The following is a 19,364-nucleotide window of genomic DNA, read 5'->3' as shown; positions in this document are numbered from 1 at the left end:
TCATTTGGTATTATTAAAGGAAAGGGCTCCACTTCCTTGTTAATTTCTCACAGTTGTCATTGCAGACCACAGAACTCAATGAATGATCTGGACTTGGGTTCATCCACAGAGGAAGTGCTAAAACGTTTGTTTCTGGTTTAGACAGTTAAAATTTATGACTCTCATTAAAGGGTCTCTGTCATATCTGATATATTACTTCTGAAGCCTAGAAGGTTTTCTGTCCCTACAGCGTTCATTATGCTTTGAGTCATTAGGAAGCCACTCACAGTGTCTGTTGTGTAATATGAGTGACCAGTAATTAAGAGAAACTTATCATTTGCTCCGAGCTCCAAAATAAGCAAATAGCACTTTGAAAATAAAGAAGTAGTTTAAGTGTATAATTCAAATCTTGATGAGAAGCATTTTTTTCTTTCCTTAAATACGTGTACATAAATTATAATAATTTTGATGAGCAGACAATAGCAAAAAACTGGAATAATATCAGTTAGAGTTTTTTTAACTGAGTATAATTTTTGGAACATGGTGTCAATATCTTATTCGATCCTTACAATAAAAGTTTGGTGCAGAAGCAAATAATTTTTGCCTCTTTTAAAGAGAAGGAAACCATCCCTCCATGCTTCTTTTGATTTCACGTTTATGAATTTGCCCAGTAAGCCACAGGCATCACACAGCCTGGTCACATCCTTTCAGAGACTCAGTTTTGTTCCTCTATATTGTACACAGTGGGCTGAAGGCCCTCAAACCTCAAGATAAAGAACAAAATTCCTCCATCAAATTATCCTACTTTTCAATGTAAATGTTTTCCACCAAACTTAAAATGTAACCAAAAACCTGAAAGTGCGAATATGACATATTAAAATTAGTATTCTAAAGAAGTAAACCTGTACTTTACAATGAAAAGGCCATTTACAGTAGAGAAATTAAACATGTTTCAGTGTAGCATAGTCACAAGACACTTCAATTTCTTATTACACTGTAAAGATATTACAGTGTAGACTTGCAGTTCCCTGTAAACACTAGAAATTCTCCAGATTGTTTTTAAGCATTCCAACATTTTCATCCAATATTTATATGTTGTTACACATTTTTTTTTCCATAGCAAGTGAAATTAGGATGCTGACTTAAATACAGATGTTGATTGTATCAATGCTATTTTGGTGTCTTCTAATATCCCCAGGCTCTGTAATCTGATAAACTCCAGTTAAGTGAAATGATTTACTAACTTCTAAATTTACAGAAATTTTGTTTGTATTTGTTTGTAATAGTCTGTAATTGTTCATTTACAAATAAAATTATCTCAGAATGTGGACTTTCTGATTCATGAGCATAAAGTGAATTTGTTATAGATTGACTTATTTAGGTTGAAAAGCATTAAAGTGAAAAGCATTAAAGCACTAACCAGAATTAGAATTTAAGTTTCATGTCAGTACAGACCTTGTCTTTTTTAAATACTTAAGTCTTAGTGCCTAGAACCATGCCTGGTACCTGAGAGGCATTTGGCTGAATAAATAAATTAACCAATGTATAAGCAAATGAACATTTAGCGCGGCTATTCATAAATCACTATAATTCAGGGACAGATTAAAAAAGTCACAATAATATATCAAATTTTAAATCCTATAATTATAAATCAGAAGATAATTTGGTTAGTAGGAGTATAAATTCAAATTTAGAGCATTAGTGAGATCTTTAAAAATCAGATTTATGTTTCAATTTATATTGACCAAAATTAAACATGTTACAAAAACAAATGTTTTTGTTTGTTTTAAATCTGAGAGTATCTTGGGAAGACATGGAAGTGTGAATGAAAATCGTGGCCTTCCTAGTTTTGGAACTTCTAAGTTTCAAGTGTCATTGTATCTTTAAAAGAGCTATTTAAACATTATTTTAAAAATATCATTTCCATTTCTTTGTAGTAGTCATTTATTTGTTTTTCATATATTTGGAAAAAAATGCATCTACAACATAACTAAAATGTAATCATAAGGCTTATTCTAATTAATAATATAAATATTGTTTAGAGCAAAAATATTTCCCAATACAAATTATGCAAAATGCATCCTTAATAACTGCATTTCAAACACCTTAGGTTTTTCTCAAATATTGGAATTTAATAGTTCAAATTATTAATCCTTTTGTATTTTTCCAGAAATATTGAATGATCATGGAGAAACTATTTGAATTTTGCTTAAAAATTCAAGTGAATCTAATAAAATTTTTCTAGGTTGATTTTATAGAGAATTGTTTATGATTATAGTGCTAAAGAGCAATTTTGCAGTTTAAGCTCATGCAAACTAAGGCATATACCTGAAGTATTGCAAGTGATTAAACTAAAAATTACTGGTATTACTGGTAATGTACCATTATATTATAGCTTTGAAAACTCAACTCCCTTTCAAAGTTAATTTACCACCGTAGCAATATTATTTCTAAGCAATAAAATGAATAGAACTAAAATAATGTATTGTAGACCTTTATTTAAAATGATAATGGATAACTTTTAATGTATTAATATGTGAATGTAATTGGATGAAAACATTCTCAAAACTGCAAAAGGTGGTGGTATTTATTAAATCAATGATGACTAGACTTCACTATATATTTTACAGCCCTGCATCATTCATGCCTAACTTTTTTTTTTCTGGTAGATTTTAGTACATATGGCATTATTTCTATCTTTCTCTATATTATCATCAAAAAAGCATGGAAAATAAATGTAATGCTTATTCTAGGTGAAAAATACTTTCTTCTTCTGAAGGTAAAAATATGTTTTTCCACAATTTGTAGCACATAACTACTGTGAAACTCATTGTTCATGTATAGTGAAGAGCACTGGCATTTCTGGTCAATTTCTTGGCAACCCCAATCAAACCTCTGAAAAGTCAGAATTAATTCTTCATTGTTCCTTCACTGGGCATAGCTCATGAATTGACAAACAGTGTGGCTGAGTGAAGATAATCAAACTCTTGTGTTCTAGTCATTCAGTCCCAGTTTTAGTTTTTTCCCCCTTGAAGCTTGAAATAGATGAGCACTCATTATTATTAGTATTTTTAATCTTTCTTATCTTGAAGTATTTTAATAGTTTACCTTACAGTCAGGTTCTTAAGACCAGATTTATTACTTTTCTTCCAAATAGTTAACCTTAATCCTTCCCTTATTTTCCAAACATAAATGAAGAATTTAATTCTACTGAATATGTAGAGTCATAGAGAAAAGTCTTGAATTTCACCCTGAGTAACTGAAAGGTGGTTACCAATATGTATACGTATCTCATAAAATTAAAAGTTTCTATGCACAACAGTATAAAGTATTTTGATGGTGTAAGACACCTATCAAAAGCACTTTAATAGTCAAACAAATTAGAGAAATCTAATGACACTGTTCCCTTAATATTTCAAAAATTTTCAATTAAAAGTATGTACATTTTGGATGTATTTTATTGAAAATAGGAAAGTCTTAGTTCTTCTTTTTAAATAAGTGTATCTCACAATTTGCATTATCAGTTTGTCATTTTATACCACCTCATTTTCTTTTAAATGAGACTATACCTTATAAACTTAATATGTGCAGTGCTAAGTAGCCAATGTTCTTTATTAGCATCTCTCAAACTCTTGTTCCAAATTTTGAAACACCCTTGCAAAATTCATTTTATTCTTCTCTGTTTCTATAGTGTACTGTATATATAAGCAGAGGAATGCAAACCAACTCTTTGACTCTCCTTTAACATAAGACTTTTCATGAACAACAACATTAAGCACAACATTTAAAAACAACATGCATTTGGAAGATATCTCTTACACCGGTACCTCTGCTGTAGCAAACAATTTGGCTACGTGGATTTGGAGACTTAAAAATTTTTAAATATCATTTTGTCCTGACAAAGTAGTTCGATTTCTAATAATGAATCCAAAGAAAATAATAAATGAATGCAGAGTTCCATCATTCACAACAGCAAAATAGTGAAAAATCTATAGTAGATTAGGTAAGTAATTTAAGGTATGTAATGTAGGATATGTGACTCTATAAAATTATATCCAATAATATTGAGTAACATAGAAAAGCAATTAATACAAACATAAATATGCTTTGATCATATTTATGTTGAAACTATAATATGTAAGAATAATAATGCTAGGAGTAAGTATGTCTGATGGCGGGATAACAGACAATTTTATTTTAACCTTTTATATATTTGTGATTATGAAAATAATTATTATTGTATAACAACAAAATAATGCAAATTATTAGCTTAAAAAGATAGAAAACCAATTCAACAACTTAGTAGTGGTTTGCATCCAATTACTGGATAATAGATATTTAACATATTCACATATTTTGAATATTTAGAACATGCTCTTTCATAGCATGTATTATTACAATCACCTAAAATAGGTATTTAGATATTTTGTTTTGTCAAATCAATTCTTAATTGTTCTACTGCGCTGCTACTTTAAAAAATATCAGATTTAATTATGATCCCTGCTTCTAAGGCCATCTAGTATATGTCAACCACTCCTACCCTGTCAATCACTCCCTTTATTGCTGTGTCCTTTTTGATTTATCTATCTATATAAACATCCATTTACTAATGATAATATAATGAGAATAACTAAATCATACTGTCCACTCTGAAGATCTCTTTTCTCTTATCTATAGGAGAATACTAAATAATGATGTTATAGAGAAAGATTGCAAGGATAAGAGAAAAGGGGAAAATACGAAGTTTTAAAAAGGGAAAGTAATCACCCGCAATTCAGACCTGGTATATTATATACTAGGTGCGTGAGCTTGATTATCTATATTGAGCATGGTGTTGGCGACAGCACCTAACAGTCACACAGGTCAGATAGATATACTTAGCTTAACAAAACAGACTTATTTCTTCAAGTTTACCTATATACTTAGAATTTCCACAAATGAAAATAATGTCTACAGTAGAAAAATTACTTTATAGAACAGCAATTCTTCTAAATGATATGAGGATGATCTTATATGAATTATCTAGGAAATACTGCACACATATATTCTAAAATATGAGGATAACATCAAATATATGCCTAGGTTCTTGAGATTATCAAAACATTTCAAGTTTTACATGGGGATCATTTTACAGATTGTTTGGCCCCTATGTAAAACTTGAAATGTTTTGGATTAGCCTAAAATTGAGGATTCCACCAAATTGATTCCATTGATCGATTTATCACCAATCTCAATCATGATTAAGATTTAGGATTAGCCTAGGACAATTTTAGGCTCCTTGAATTTTCAAAAACTCTAGGGTACATGTGCACAACGTGCAGGCTTGTTACATAGGTATACGTGTGCCATGTTGGCTTGCTGTACCCATCAACTCGTCATTTATATTAGGTATTTCTCCTAATGCTATTCCTCCCCCAGCCCCCCACTGCCCGACATGTACCCTAGAACTGAAAGTATAATAAAAAAAGTAAAATAAAATTTTCAAAAGCTCCAGTGGTATTTTCTAAGTAAACCTATAAACAAATAATCTAGTGTTAATCTACAAATGTGATATTTGGTTCAATATATTTGATCATTTACTTCTCTCTGGTGCTACTTTGACAGAAAGGCACAATACTTTGCATGTTGAATTCACTTCTTTTCACTTCCAACACTGAACTGATGATGAGTGATTTCTTCTTCAGCTCCAGGGTACTAATTTCTTGCAAGTTTTCTAATCTCAGGCTTTTCTTATCAGTGGTAATAAACTGACTAAAATCAGGGATAAAGTATTGGTGTACTTTTTTTTTTTCTTTAAATTCTCCATCCTTCAATTTCAGTGCTATAAGAACATTAAATGATAGTAGCATTAATACATACAATGACTCAAAGCTCCACTCCCTTAAAACAACCATTGCATTTTAATACATAACCTAATTTCTTTATATAAAATGGGCATAAACTAGCATACTATATTTGAAATAGCAATAGTTTCAATAGCTAAAATAGTTTAAAGCATACAGACATAACACTGAGAAGCAAGCCTAAAAACAATTACGTCTTTTCAGCTCTGCATCTTACTGTGTGACTTTCTGCAATATATTTAACCTCTCTGAGGGAGAGGGCTGTTGTTTGGTTTCTTGTAAAAAATAGAAAATAAAATACTTAACTTGCTTGGGAGGATTACGTACATGCACAATCATGTGAGAAAGCTACTAAGCCCAGTGCTGGGCACTAGTAAAGCACTTAACAAATTTTAGAAACTATGGTTATACCGTTCATATTTTTTGAGTAGAAAAAATCTAAAGGCACAACATTATTATTGATCCAAAATTTTCTTTAGAGTTAACCTTAAGTAGGATAGATATAATCTGTATTGTAATACTAAAATAATGGATTGATCTGTGTATTTCCAAATATGGCAGTCATATTTTTCTGAAAGTGATGTTTTCTTTGGAAACTGTTGAATATAATTGTTGTGTTTTTTTGAGACAAAAGGCTTTCTGCTTATATATTGTAATGTTATATAAAAAAGCATTCCATTGAAGCCCATATGCAAATACAGTATTTCAGTCCCAGTGAAGGTACAGACTTACTAGTGTAGTTTACTTGACAGGGAATTGCCAAATATTTTTGGTACGTGTAAATAAAAGCTATATATATTTTTTTCATTTTTCTGGCTTGAAGCCCAGAAGGTGGGAAGTGAAGATTGGGAAGTTAAAGGCTATGCTCCTCTGAGAACACTGTGGTACCTGAAGGGCTGTACATTGAAAGAAGTCAGGTTGTGGGATAAAATGTGTTACATAAATGTGCACTGCTCTTGATAGATTCCAATTTATTGTTTGAAGAGTTGTACTGAACATTAAAACATGTTATTATTATTATCATATTCATTATACACAACCAGAATCTCACCTTCAAGTATTCTCTAAAACTTCCCAAAGTACAAGTGCTAAAATCACTGTCAGCCCTACAGGAGAATTTAGAAGAAACAAGGGAAACCCTCAGGTACTGGGCATAATTCTCCTGCCTATAGCAAGCAAAGATGCAGATTGAGGAAATCAAGCCACAATAATCTTGCTTCTTCCAAAACTATTATACATTTAGGACAATACTATCTCTAGTAGGTATATGTATGATGAACTTTTAACTTCTAAACTGTATGATACGTAGTATGTATTTACACACACAGACACTCCTGTAGTTACATACTATGTATTCACACACATACACACACACACAGTCTTGATCAAAATTGTCATGGCTCCTCAAATAAACTGTGAAAAGAATTAACATGTGCTATAGGCTATACTTCTTTTGTTCAAAGCGCAGTACCGAACACTTGAGAAATGATTTTCATCTGACATAATTTAAGAACATGAAACAGTTTTGTGTCACTTCTAAGTATGCCAAGGCAATTGTGAATCCAGTGTGTCCGGTGATTCTGGAGACTTTTTTTTGGCATCATATTTTTACCATCTAACTTAGTACCGATGTTGTTTAATTTGGTTCTCTGCTGAATTTTAAAGGCAATAAAATGCAAATTAGAATTTGTATAAGTGAATCAATAGGTACGAGTTAAAGAACAGTGCTTGGTTTACTTCTGTTTCTCTTTCATCATTATTTAAGAGTATTAAGCCTGTTAATGTTAATTCCTCTTTCTCTAACTTTAGGAGAAGAGTCATGGCTGAGTGACAGTAGTACTGAATTTTGATCTTGGTCTTCTGTGAATTGACTAGATAAGAACAAGAGATGGATCTCAGTTTTCTCTCCTTTAAAATGGCTTAGCTTTATCTACCTAGGATGTCATGAGTAAAATAGATAAATAAATAGATAAAATTATTAAACATATCATGACTCCACAGAAAATCTCTATAAAATATTATATTAAGGATACTATGTTATAGAACATATACGCATGTTTCATTTTCAAAATAGTTAATTATACATTCACACTCAAAGGCTCATAAATAATTTCGAGTAGGGAAAGGAATACGACAAACTTATGTTCCTTCTTACGGTATATTTCTAGTATTTACCTATCTCATCTACAGAATCTTATATTCTCTAAGGTATTTGAGAATAATAATATGGAGAAAATATAATATTTGAAGAAAATGACATGGAGTTTGACCAATGTGAACAAATACGTCTCATTTTGAGCCTGAGTATAGATTAAAAAACGAAGTGTCTTGCTCAGTAAATAAAGTTTCATAGTTTTCCTGAGAACAATGTGATTCTTAGGTTTCTGATCTTTGGCAACTAGTCAGATGATTTTCACTGCCATTCCTGTAAAAAGTGCAGAGTAAATTTACCATGTTTAGAAATGACAGGATGCCAACCAACCACTCATAGATTTTTAAGAGGCACTTAAATAAATTGATGCTTGGTCTTCTTCAGAGGATGATTAAGGAAGCATCCACATCAGGATGATGCTCAGTTTATTCACAGAGCCACGCACATTCCTAGCCAAAGGAAGATAAATATAATAAACACGGAAGGAAAAGCATATTTTGCTTTATTTTGTTTTGTTATAAATGTACTTAATCACCTGCAGGGAGTGAAATGCTTAAGGGCCAAACACCGAGGATTCCCATTTTCAGCTTTAGCCTCTTCAGAAAACTAAGCACAGTAGATGTTCTGTGACCTTGGCATACTGCTGTACACTGTTGTCTGGGTCTACCCACTGAGAAAGTGGAAAGTCCCATGATCCTCCTTTCTGATGTAGTAATAACTATCCATCACTTCAGGGGTTCTTAATAAAATCAATTGGTTTCCATTGCTCTATCTATAGGGAAGCTTTGTTTAGTTCTAGAATGAGTTTCATGGCTTTTATGATTTACCAAACAGCCAACTCAGTTACTCATCCTTTCTGGAACATACAACAAACAAACTGCCATAGTCACTACACACCATTCATCACTCCAGGCAAAATACCCAGGCTCACACTTCTCAGGATCACTGGATATGTCCTTGGGCACTTAAGGTATAGCCTCAAACCAATGCCTGTCGGCCACTATTTTTGTTTCACAGTTTCTAGGGCCTGTATCCACTCTCTTTCAGTGGATTTGCTATTTCCTTTATTTGCTCTGCACTGTCAGAGCAGGGGATTTGAGGCAATGACAGTGGGTGGATGTAAAAGACAAGACAAAAAATGTTCAAAAGATGACAATCTTTTAACATGAAAATTATCTGGGATGAGTTAAACAGTTGCTCTGACATATGCAAAAACATTCAGATAATACATGGGATTCTCATTGCCTGTGGCTGATCTTGGCTTTTTGGAAAACACTTGTGCAAGAGGATGGTTTCTAGTCTCCAATGGTACACTCTAAGTGTGCTTCCTTTCTCTGGGATGAAGAAGAGGAAGGTTAAAAATATATCTAACAGGACAACAATAAACTGCTTTGTGTCAAACACAGAAAATGAGTAAAAGAGAGAGAAACTGAAGATCGGAAAGTGAGAGAAAGAGAAGGGCAAAATTTCTTATATAGAAAGACACACATATTTGTGGCATTTAAAATATTTTGATAAGATCACTATTCATATTTTTAACCTAAATCCTAAATATCAAAAATGTAACATTATGTAGAGTAAATCTATTATAAATATCATTTATAATATCAAAATAACATGGACCCTAATACCTTCACCCTGGCAAGGGTCTCATTCAGCAGCATCACCTAATCTGACAGCTGACAAAAAATTCCATAAAAAAATAAAAAAGTGTCAGAGCAAAACATATTTCTGGCAACCTACAATGGGATAGAAGACAGGAACTAACTAAAGATGAAGGAACACAACGTGGAGGGCTTCTCAGCTCAGTGACTCTATTTGTTACAGGAGTCCCAGCTATTAAGACCCAATTTGTAGACCAAAAAGTGTAGTTGGAGGCTACTGGTCACATACACAAATCTGTTCTTACTCTGGTTGGCTCTGAGCACCAACAAAAATGCAGTGCTGCAGAGGAAAGATGACTTCCTTTACTAATTCTCTAAAGGCATCAGTTTGCTCAGGTGACAGTACCACCTTGAACTGTTTCCCAAATGAACACAAATATTATTTCCTACTTTTCATAAATGTTCCAGCCCCATGCCTTGGTGACAGCAGCACTCACCTAAGTCTTTCTACTCTTGGTCATTTCCTTTTGAATACATCCCATTAGTCAATACCAGACTAACCTTTCTAAAGTATCAGGTTATACACATCAAGCCTCATGTTCTAAAGCTCTAAGAGCTGCCCGCCTTCAAGATTCTATTCAATCTTATGTAGCCTCCTACTGTCATTGACAATATCATTCTCTCCATATTTGCCTCCAGCCAGTAGAGCATTATTTTAAAGTCTCCTGGATTTGAGGTCAAATATCCTGAATTAGCATCCTGCTGCCACTGTGCAGCAGTATGACTTTAGACAATTCACTAATTTCCCTTTGGTACATATTCTCTTCAGTAAAGTTAGAAAAATAATTTTAAAAAATCCTTTTCATTAGGTGGCTCTGAAAACCTAACACAACCATCTCAACAAAATGCCCAGCTCTTAGTAAATGTTAAAAAAATGTAGAGATTTTTATCTTATGTTCGTTTATAGCCCATACTCCAGCTTGCCATGTATCCCCCTCCTTACTACATTTGTTTAAGTCTTACCCTTTCTCAAAGCCTTCCTAAATGCCTATTTGAACCATGAAATGGATGGGCAGGTAGTCCCCAATGAATCTGTTACATACATTCTGCTGGATGTTTGGTATACTGTTCCTTCAGTTATGGAGCTATTGTCCAGACATTTGTTACGTGTCTACTTTGGATCTACAAAGAGTTGCACTACATTTTTCAAGTTTTAAGAGGACTGAGATTCTGAAGTTATTCCCCCACTATAACTATAGTGTAAAACGTTTGAGGACATGAATCCCATCTTGTAATTTTTTGTGTGACCACCGCCACCGAAGTCTGTTGTTGGTGAGTTGTAGTTGCTGGAAATATGTTTTCAGTATCTGGAAAGTTTTGTCTGTGTATATTATATGACTGCAAAAACATAACATCTCTGCTCTTATCAGGTAATTTACAGAAACCTGGAATGTATTAATGTAAAATCTCTAGACAGTTGACTTTACTTCAACTATCTTTCCATCTTGTCTCATTGCTTCTCACCGCACTTGATGCTCTTGTAGATGTGGCATAAGTCTATGGAGTTGAACAATCAGATTGCTGTGGCAGTAGTTTTGTAATAACAAAATGAAGAGGTTCACCCCCTCTTACGAACATAATTAATAAATATGGCTTTTTCATTCTTAGAAAAAAAGAGTGAAATGGAGTAAAGCTTACATTTTTATATTTATTTAAACTTCATATTTATTTAAACTTTATATATAATATACATTTATATAAATATATATATTATGTATAATATCTAAATATATATTTATATATAATGCATATATATATGCTTTCCTTCAAAAAATCACATCTTGTGGCAGTAATAAGCACAGCAAATCTAGCAAGACCTATCAAGTTGTAGGGAGGCTCTGTTACTTAATGATACCATTGAGTTAATCTTCAAAAATATCTTGTCCATCAATCACTGTTTTTTATCAGACAACAAAGGACTTAAAAGGATTGCAATTTTTAGCCAATCCAGGGACTCTTCTTGAAGGCTCTGCTCAATAATTTCTGGGTATTTTTGCTTTAAGAGAATAAGATTATTAAAAAAAATCTTTTTGATATTAGACACATTGGTTTAGGTCCCAGTCATGCTAACCATTGCTTCCCTGTAAGCCCCAAACTAAAACTCAGTTTGTGCCTAATTTTCTTCTTCTGCAAAATGAAGCTTTAATTATTTATATGGTAAGGTTTTTTTGTATTAAATGTAATAATATACATTTACCTCATGAAAATGTATATTATTACAAGATGTAAAGTGCTTGGCGAAATGAATTAGCTGTAGGCAATGTTATTATAAGTAAGGGATGATATCTAACAAACAGAAGTATATCCTGAGACAAGTTGTTTTCATCATAAAAGAGCAGATAGATTATATCTGGGTATATTATTAAAAATACCAGAGGTCAGTGCAGTACACACACATATGTAATCCTCACAGAATGTATTGTTATGATCTGAATATTTTGAACTTTATGTGAAATTCTTTCTTCTCCATGAAAAACCCAACCTTCTCAAGTCACATTCTATAGTTACTTAACCTGCCTATCATCTAGAAAATCAGGATTCTGGGAAATAAATTCTAGCCAATAAGGAGCTGAAATAGTTACAATTATTTAAACAATGATGTCAGAGTAGTATTGAAGTGTCACTGAAGAAGAACAATATAAAAGGAAGTTTTTTTTCCCTCTACCTCTTAGTAAACAAAAATACCCTCAATCCACATTTTTCTGCATTTCTCTCAGACTATAGTGCCATTAAAATATGCATTTCATGTGTTTGCACTGGAGTAGCATTAAAACTCTAGATATTGAAAAGGTATTCCCCAAACACAAAACTCACATGGGATTCTCATCTCAGTATTCCCTCCTTTAAATAAATGAAGACATTTCAATCCAGAAATATTTTGAAGTTAATATGGTTCCCATGACCAACACATGTTGATTGCCCTGATAAGACAACTCTGAAGTTTTTCACAAAACCAAAAAAACCAAGACACTTAGAACTTAAATAGAATGTTTTGAATATAATGCCCCATTTTGAACTTCAACCCCAAAGAGCATGGCAACAGACTTTTAAAATCAAACATAATTTTCCACAAAACAACACTTCTTTTCACTAAAATTGCTGACAATGATTCAGGTTCTGAAAACTGTGATTTGTTCCTATTTGGATACAGAGATTTAATTCATCCTCTTTTTTCGTGTGCTAAAATACATCAGTTATCCACCCCCACCTCAAGAACTACTCAAATAGAGGATGAACCACCACCATACCTCAACAGCCACTCAAATAGAGGATGGTCAGAAGTGTAGTTAGAATAGAACAGTAGAACATGACAGCTATGAATTGAACATTATTGAGCTCAACACTTCAGTAAATACCTTGAAAGTCCATGACATACAGTCATTTGCCTTTTTTATTTAGGCATGATTTGCTTTGACTCACGAAAGGGTGTCTAAATGGCGGTGTGTAAGAGTAAGGAGTTAGCCAGAGACTGAGCCCTGGCCTTCCTGTTGTAGCAGTTGTACCTTCGAGAGGGTGTTCTCTGCACACACTTACTTTCAACTCTTCCTAAAGGTATAAACATGTGGCATCTATTTTTAAATGGCCATTAATTAAAAAAAAAGCTGGCACTCTTCTAGAAGTGAAAAATTCTAGTAATATGATACCTACTAGCCAGAAAATAAAAGTTTTAAAGGACAAATTATGTTCTCCAGTGGTATTTGGGAACTTGCAGGAAACACAAGGATTTAAAAAGAGCTGATCAATAGAAAGTTCTAAAATCATATCAGTGTTCCATATCTGCTCTATCCAATAGCTGCTTGAAATGTGGCTCACCTGATAGAGGAACTGAATTTTAAAGTTTAAATTTTATATAAATTTAATAAATGTGAATTGAAATGTAAATAGCCATATTTGGCTACCATACCGGGCAGATCAGGTTTAGAGCCAGCACTCAAAGATGACCAGGAGTCTTGATATAATGCTTAATTTTCTCAAAGCCATTCTCCGAGGAAACATGTCTAAAACATATGTACCAGTATTTATGACTATGTGATTGCAAAATTGGTGTAAGTTAAAAATAAATCTACTGTCCACCAGTTGAAACTGTATCACATTTAATATACTTGAACTATGGGAGTTTTCCATGTTTGCTATGACCTTATAGACAAAGAAGAAGAAAAAAATTAAAAGGAAGTAGTCAACTGCTTTTCTATTTTGCAATCAGCATGTCCCTGCATGATGATATCTAAAAGCCATTAAAAAATGAAGAATAAGAAACAACAACACAACAACAACAAAGAGTATTGCATGGAGAGGGAAGATATAAAGGATTCTAAAAGTTACCTTTAATTTTTACTACTATTCAAATATGAGGCACATGTGTAAACAACCAGATAAAATAGGAACCTGATAAATTTTTAAAATGTGTTTTGCTAACACAGTAGAATGCAACTACAGGACTGAATGATTCTGAAACTTCAAGGGCCCTTAAACACGATTCAGTTCAAACTATCCTGCAGATATATAAGTAATTTGAAGCCCACAGAAGTGGAGTGCTCATTGTCCCTGAGATATTAATAATAGCCATGCTTGGTCCCAGATCTCTCAGTTTGTGCTCTCTTCACTATGACTTTCCCCCGACCTCTGCTGAGCACAGACTGATGCTTGAGTTGAGAAAGCGCCTCATCTCCATCCCCACTTGTCCCAACCTCTGGTGAGCAGAAAATATAGAGTATTTTAACCATGATACTCTGCTTGACACAAAAGCTCCCTTCAGTAACATTTCTAAAGAGCATGCAATTTACGGTTTACCAAGCACATTGTGAAAAAAGAAAATTATAAAAATGGATGCTTTATGTGGGCAGTTTTTTTAGTTTAACATGCCTTTTGTTATAAAATTGGCTTGTATGGTACTCCAAAGATATATAGGTTCAAGAAAAACAGCTCCAAGCTTCAAAGCAAATGACTACTCATGTTATTATGCTTTTGGTGACTCAGTGAAACAATGAACCGGTATTAAGAGAAAAACAAACAATTATTTTAGGGGGAAAAAACTTGTCATCCTCTTTTTAGAGCTAAGTCTTAGATGTTTCATCTAGCTTAAAACTCTCATTTTACAGGTGAAAAAACTGAGATGGCAGATTTTAAATGACTTGCTCCAAGTCACACAACTAGTAAGTAGAATTGGGTTTTAGAGGCAGGATTTCTGCCTCTAGGTTCGGAGCTTTTTATTACTCCAGAAACTACAATAAGATAGATGTCTAAAAAAGCAGAAGAAAGAAGAAAGAAAATAACAATTATTCTGTGTATGTCATGGTCATTTAAAAATATCTATTGTTTTTAATTTAAGTTATATTTTGACAAAATTTTTCACAGCTTTGTATGTAATTTCATAGAGTACTGATGGAAGAAAGAAAATTATGTTTCAGGAGCTATGTAAAAGAGCAGGAAATAAATCCACTTTATTGTCTGAATTTTATAAACTTTCTTGGTTCTCAGATAATCTTCTACAGATAAATGCCACACTACTTCTGATAAGAGCAAGAGATAAATAACACTGCACATTTTAAATGTCATGTACTGTGAATTTTATACTGTGATCTTATAAATGAATCCATAGGAGAAAAAGAAAATGCTAAATAAGTACAGTGATGGGGCTTACATTCTGGTGCTGCTGGTCTTGTTGATGATAACAGATTTTCCTGTTTGATCCACATTGTGATCCAATCCAAAATAAGCTGCCACTCGATGGACAAGCATCCTCTGATACGATGACATCTGAGGGAACTTTTTATAATGATTACTAGAACATAATTCAAGAAAAAGTGGAATCAGCATTTTCATTTTTTGCCCATAATACCTTTTTACAAGTATACACACAAAACTATTTCTTCTTCATCTAAACCACTAAGCCTATTGCATTTCTGGCATCACTTAATGTCCTAATTTCTAGAAAAATTTTCTACTTATTATAGATTTATTGATTAAGCCACAATAAACATCTTTGTTTCATAGTTGCACATTTCTCTTGCCAAAGAGAATGTAATGTCTGTTGGACAGTATTGTATTTTAGTCCATGATACCTTATCAACGGGGCCAGGCACAGGACAAATGATGTGACATAATACGTGATTGCAGATGTCTATATGGAGATGTGTCATTACACGGTTTATACTGAAGCAGCACAATTATTTCCAGGCATAACTGACTGCAGCCAGCTGGAGCCCATTAAAAAACTATAATAAAAATGAAAAGGGTCTCTTCTTGTTACAGCTACTCTATGCTAATCAGTGGCCCACTGTTTATAGCCATTTTGTCAGGAATTTAACAAGCAGAAGCACACATGGTCCAAGCAACAATTCTCATCAGCGTATAGTCCTAACTCCAATAATGTCTCCATTTAACAAATCAAGGAACATATTAAACAATGTTTTGTCTATCCCTAAGTCTTTCCAGAATGGACAATTTAACTCCAATACCAAACTAGGATACATGATCAAATTAACCAGCATTGAAGTTTAACATACTTGTTGTCAGCAATGAAATCAATAATTTCCTGCTCCATTTTCAAAAGTATCATCCTGTCCCTGCAAAATAAATGTTAAATTTAAAAGGTTTTATGTATGTTCCACTTCCAAAAACCTAAAGAATTAATTAAATGTATGGAAAAGATTACTTAAATGTATGCTGCTACAAACTTATACCTAACTCTTCTTTGGAATATGCTGACCATTTACATATTATTTCATTTCATTCATTACAATTTATTTCATTGTTTAAGAGTATTCCTTATCTTATTTGTTAAGTATATTGAAATATCTAAATTTTGTAGTCTTAATGTTAATTATGGCATGCAAAGTACTAGGATCAAAAAACCCATCAAATAAATAGTATATTTCAAATAAATAGGAAACTGGAACAAAACGAAGGCCAAGTATTGACTGTAAATGAATACATAGCTGCATTAAAACATAATTGGCTTATTTGACAACAATAATTTTTATTTGCTATTTTTCCACCTTAGCCAGTATCTCTTTGTGATCTGAAAAGCAGAACTGTTAAAGTATAATTTATTAATTGGGTAACTACCCAGTTACTAAGACTCTCTATAAAAAGTAAACATGCAAACGATTAGTAGAAAAAAAATACAGGAGACAGTTTAAGACGTCAGGGAAGGTATCTGCATTTCACAATGGCTTTCTTAGAAGTGTTGGATTAATAACTTTGATTGTAATATTCTATTTGATCCTTCTAAAAATAAGAGGCTCATTTAATAATTTACCTGGAATTATTCTTTAATGTGTTAATCAGAAACTCGTGTAAGTCTATGCCTGTAGAATCCGTGTATTCTTGGCTGCAATCTGAAACAAATAGCAGGACGGAGCTGTCAGGAATGATGGTGGAAAGGTGGGGTAGAAAAGGTTTCCCCAACCTATCCTGTTTCCCCCTGCTCAGATAAATTTTAGGTGAAGCTGTTGGTATAAAAATACATGTTTCAAAACTAGCAATCTGGCAATATAACATCAGAATGAAAATTAGATTCCGGGATTGAAAACACCCAATAAATCCTGAATATGGAAAGATCCAAATGTCATAGGAGGGGAAGTGGGCACAGTCTGGGTGTGGGGGAGAGGTGGAGTCAAATATCACGTGTTCATTCTGCATTGTAAATAACAAGGGCACAAACCCCACATGACAGAACTCCCACCTACAGAGAGAGCTCTCAAGAGTTTGAGATCCCATGGAACCCTTTTTCTCTTAAAACAAAGAAGGCAAAAAAAAAAAAATGAATGTTCTGTTATGAGACTATCTATTAATCGGTACAAAATACAGGAGGACACTAAATATTCCCAAGACTTTTAAATATCCTAATGCTGTCCAAAGCTTAATTTCTAAAACTGTTTTAGAAACCTGAACTTCTTTACTGTCATATACACCTTGGATTTTAGATATTCCTCAGCAGAAACAACAATTATAAGCAGATGTATGGTTATAGAACACATAACTGTTAGAGGCGGTTGTCATTTCTCAGTTGACCAGATGCTCTATTCTTTCCCAGTTGTCCAGTTTGTTTGTTTGTTTGTTTAAGTCTACTGCAAGCCTGTTTACTCATGGTACTCTTCATTTCAACTTAGTTTTGTTTTGTACCATGATAGGTATGGCAAAAATTTGGACAGTTTGGACTGTAGGTTTTGAGTTTGTAAATGTATGACTTTTTGCACAGTGATTTATTGAAGTAGAAGTGGGTATTTCTTAAATAAACATTACTTGATAGTAGATGGGTTCAGAGACTAAATTCTGAGCCAGATAAAATGTGAATCATGTATTCCGTTGACATATACATCTGTACTTTGGGGACCATATCACTTATGAACTGAGAATTGCTAATCCACTCTCTGTCTTTTAAGATAAACATGAGAGTTAAGATATCAAACTTGGTATCATTACTGTTCACCAATCCAAGTTAATCGGTCCAAGAAACCTAAATTTAGGGCAGATTTATATTTATTCCTTGTACAAGCTTGTCACTGAAAACAGAAGATTAAAATGTGAATCCAAAGAAATATGTGATCCTAAAAATAACCTGTCTAGCAACACAAGTAATGACACTATAAACAGAAAGAAAATCAAGTTCACATTTTTTACACACACACAGATACGTACACGTATAGAATCATATGCAGGGTTTGGTGGGAGGTGAATATGCATGTGAAATCTAGAATGTGTTCTGTGACTATGTGTGTGCCCAAATTGAGTAAGTTAAGGAAATATTTTCACATTCACCTTTTGATAACATTCTGATCTTGGGTTTTTCAGAGGTTTTATCTTTGTTTTTATCCTTTTCTTTTTCTCTTTCAGAGTCATCTTTCCTAGATTTATCCTCCTCTTGCAGGCTGGAAAAACTGGAAAGCTGTAAATGAATTGATTCCTGTTGGGGAAAAAATATAATAATTTAGGGCCAGGTTTAATCATCTCTGTCTGGCTCCCATTTTGCATAGAGGTTATAAAGTATAGAAAAATGAAAACCAGGTGCAGATTTTTTTTTTCTAAATGGTAAAAATTAAACCTGTCAGGAAATTAATTGCCCTTTAAAATGACTTAATCTTCAGGAGTCAATGGGAGGTCATAAGGAACATCTAGTACTAAAACTTTGCCTTATGAATATTAACCTTAACCAAGTTGAATTCCTGTAGATCACAATACTTATTTTTTTCTACAGGTTTATTTTTAAACATCTAGAAAAAATTTCTTTATCAGTAAGCTCTCATCACAGCCATTGTATTAAAAAAAAAAAGTCCTCCGTAGTTCTATTCTATAATTCCTTATAAGGGGAAATTGGCACAAAGACAGACATATACTAGGAATCATAATTACAAATAGAACAGACATAAAGAAAGCCCCTATTACTGAATTTACAATTAAAAACTCAATTTTAGACCCAGGTCAACAATGATTTCTACTACTATGAAAAAGCAGACTATAGAATTGCAGGAATTCTAGGTATAAACTTATTATAATTGTTTATAAATACTACTAATAAATCATTATAATGAATAGTTACAATAAGCATTGCCTTTTAGAAAAGGTAGGAAGTAGAATTATATTTTTCATAAATAATATATAAAATTTAATATTATTTTATTTTAGCATCAGTTAGTCCTTTCCAAAATATAATATTGTCTTGAAATGATGTTTGATTTAAGATTGGCCATTTACAGCATTGGGACTGGATCCACTTTTATTCTT

General features: G+C 32.9%; 1 protein-coding gene across 74 annotated transcripts in view; it reads right to left on the bottom strand.

Moving 5' to 3' along the window:
• The window catches only part of ARPP21 (cAMP regulated phosphoprotein 21), a 155,634-nt gene that overhangs the window by 88,202 nt on the left and 48,068 nt on the right, over nt 1–19,364 (bottom strand). For 71 of the 74 annotated variants that reach the window (NR_170705.1, NR_169632.1, NR_169633.1 and 68 more), the window contains 4 exons: nt 18,402–18,546; nt 16,900–16,978; nt 16,145–16,204; nt 15,280–15,420 (listed from right to left, as the gene is read on the bottom strand). Coding sequence is in view for 64 of the 74 variants with exons in the window: in NM_001385489.1 (NP_001372418.1) it covers nt 15,280–15,420; nt 16,145–16,204; nt 16,900–16,978; nt 18,402–18,546 (425 nt within the window). In the remaining 10 variants the exon portion in view is untranslated. Of the gene's footprint in view, nt 1–8,273; nt 8,424–15,279; nt 15,421–16,144; nt 16,205–16,899; nt 16,979–18,401; nt 18,547–19,364 lie in introns of all 74 variants that reach the window. The other 3 variants (NR_169646.1, NM_001385496.1, NM_001385566.1) reach the window with 3 other exon arrangements.

Source organism: Homo sapiens, chromosome 3, assembly GCF_000001405.40.
Source record: "Homo sapiens chromosome 3, GRCh38.p14 Primary Assembly".
Classification (NCBI taxonomy): Eukaryota; Metazoa; Chordata; class Mammalia; order Primates; family Hominidae; genus Homo; species Homo sapiens.
Note: the sequence above shows the minus strand (reverse complement) of the source record. Positions and strands in the feature narration are given on the sequence as shown.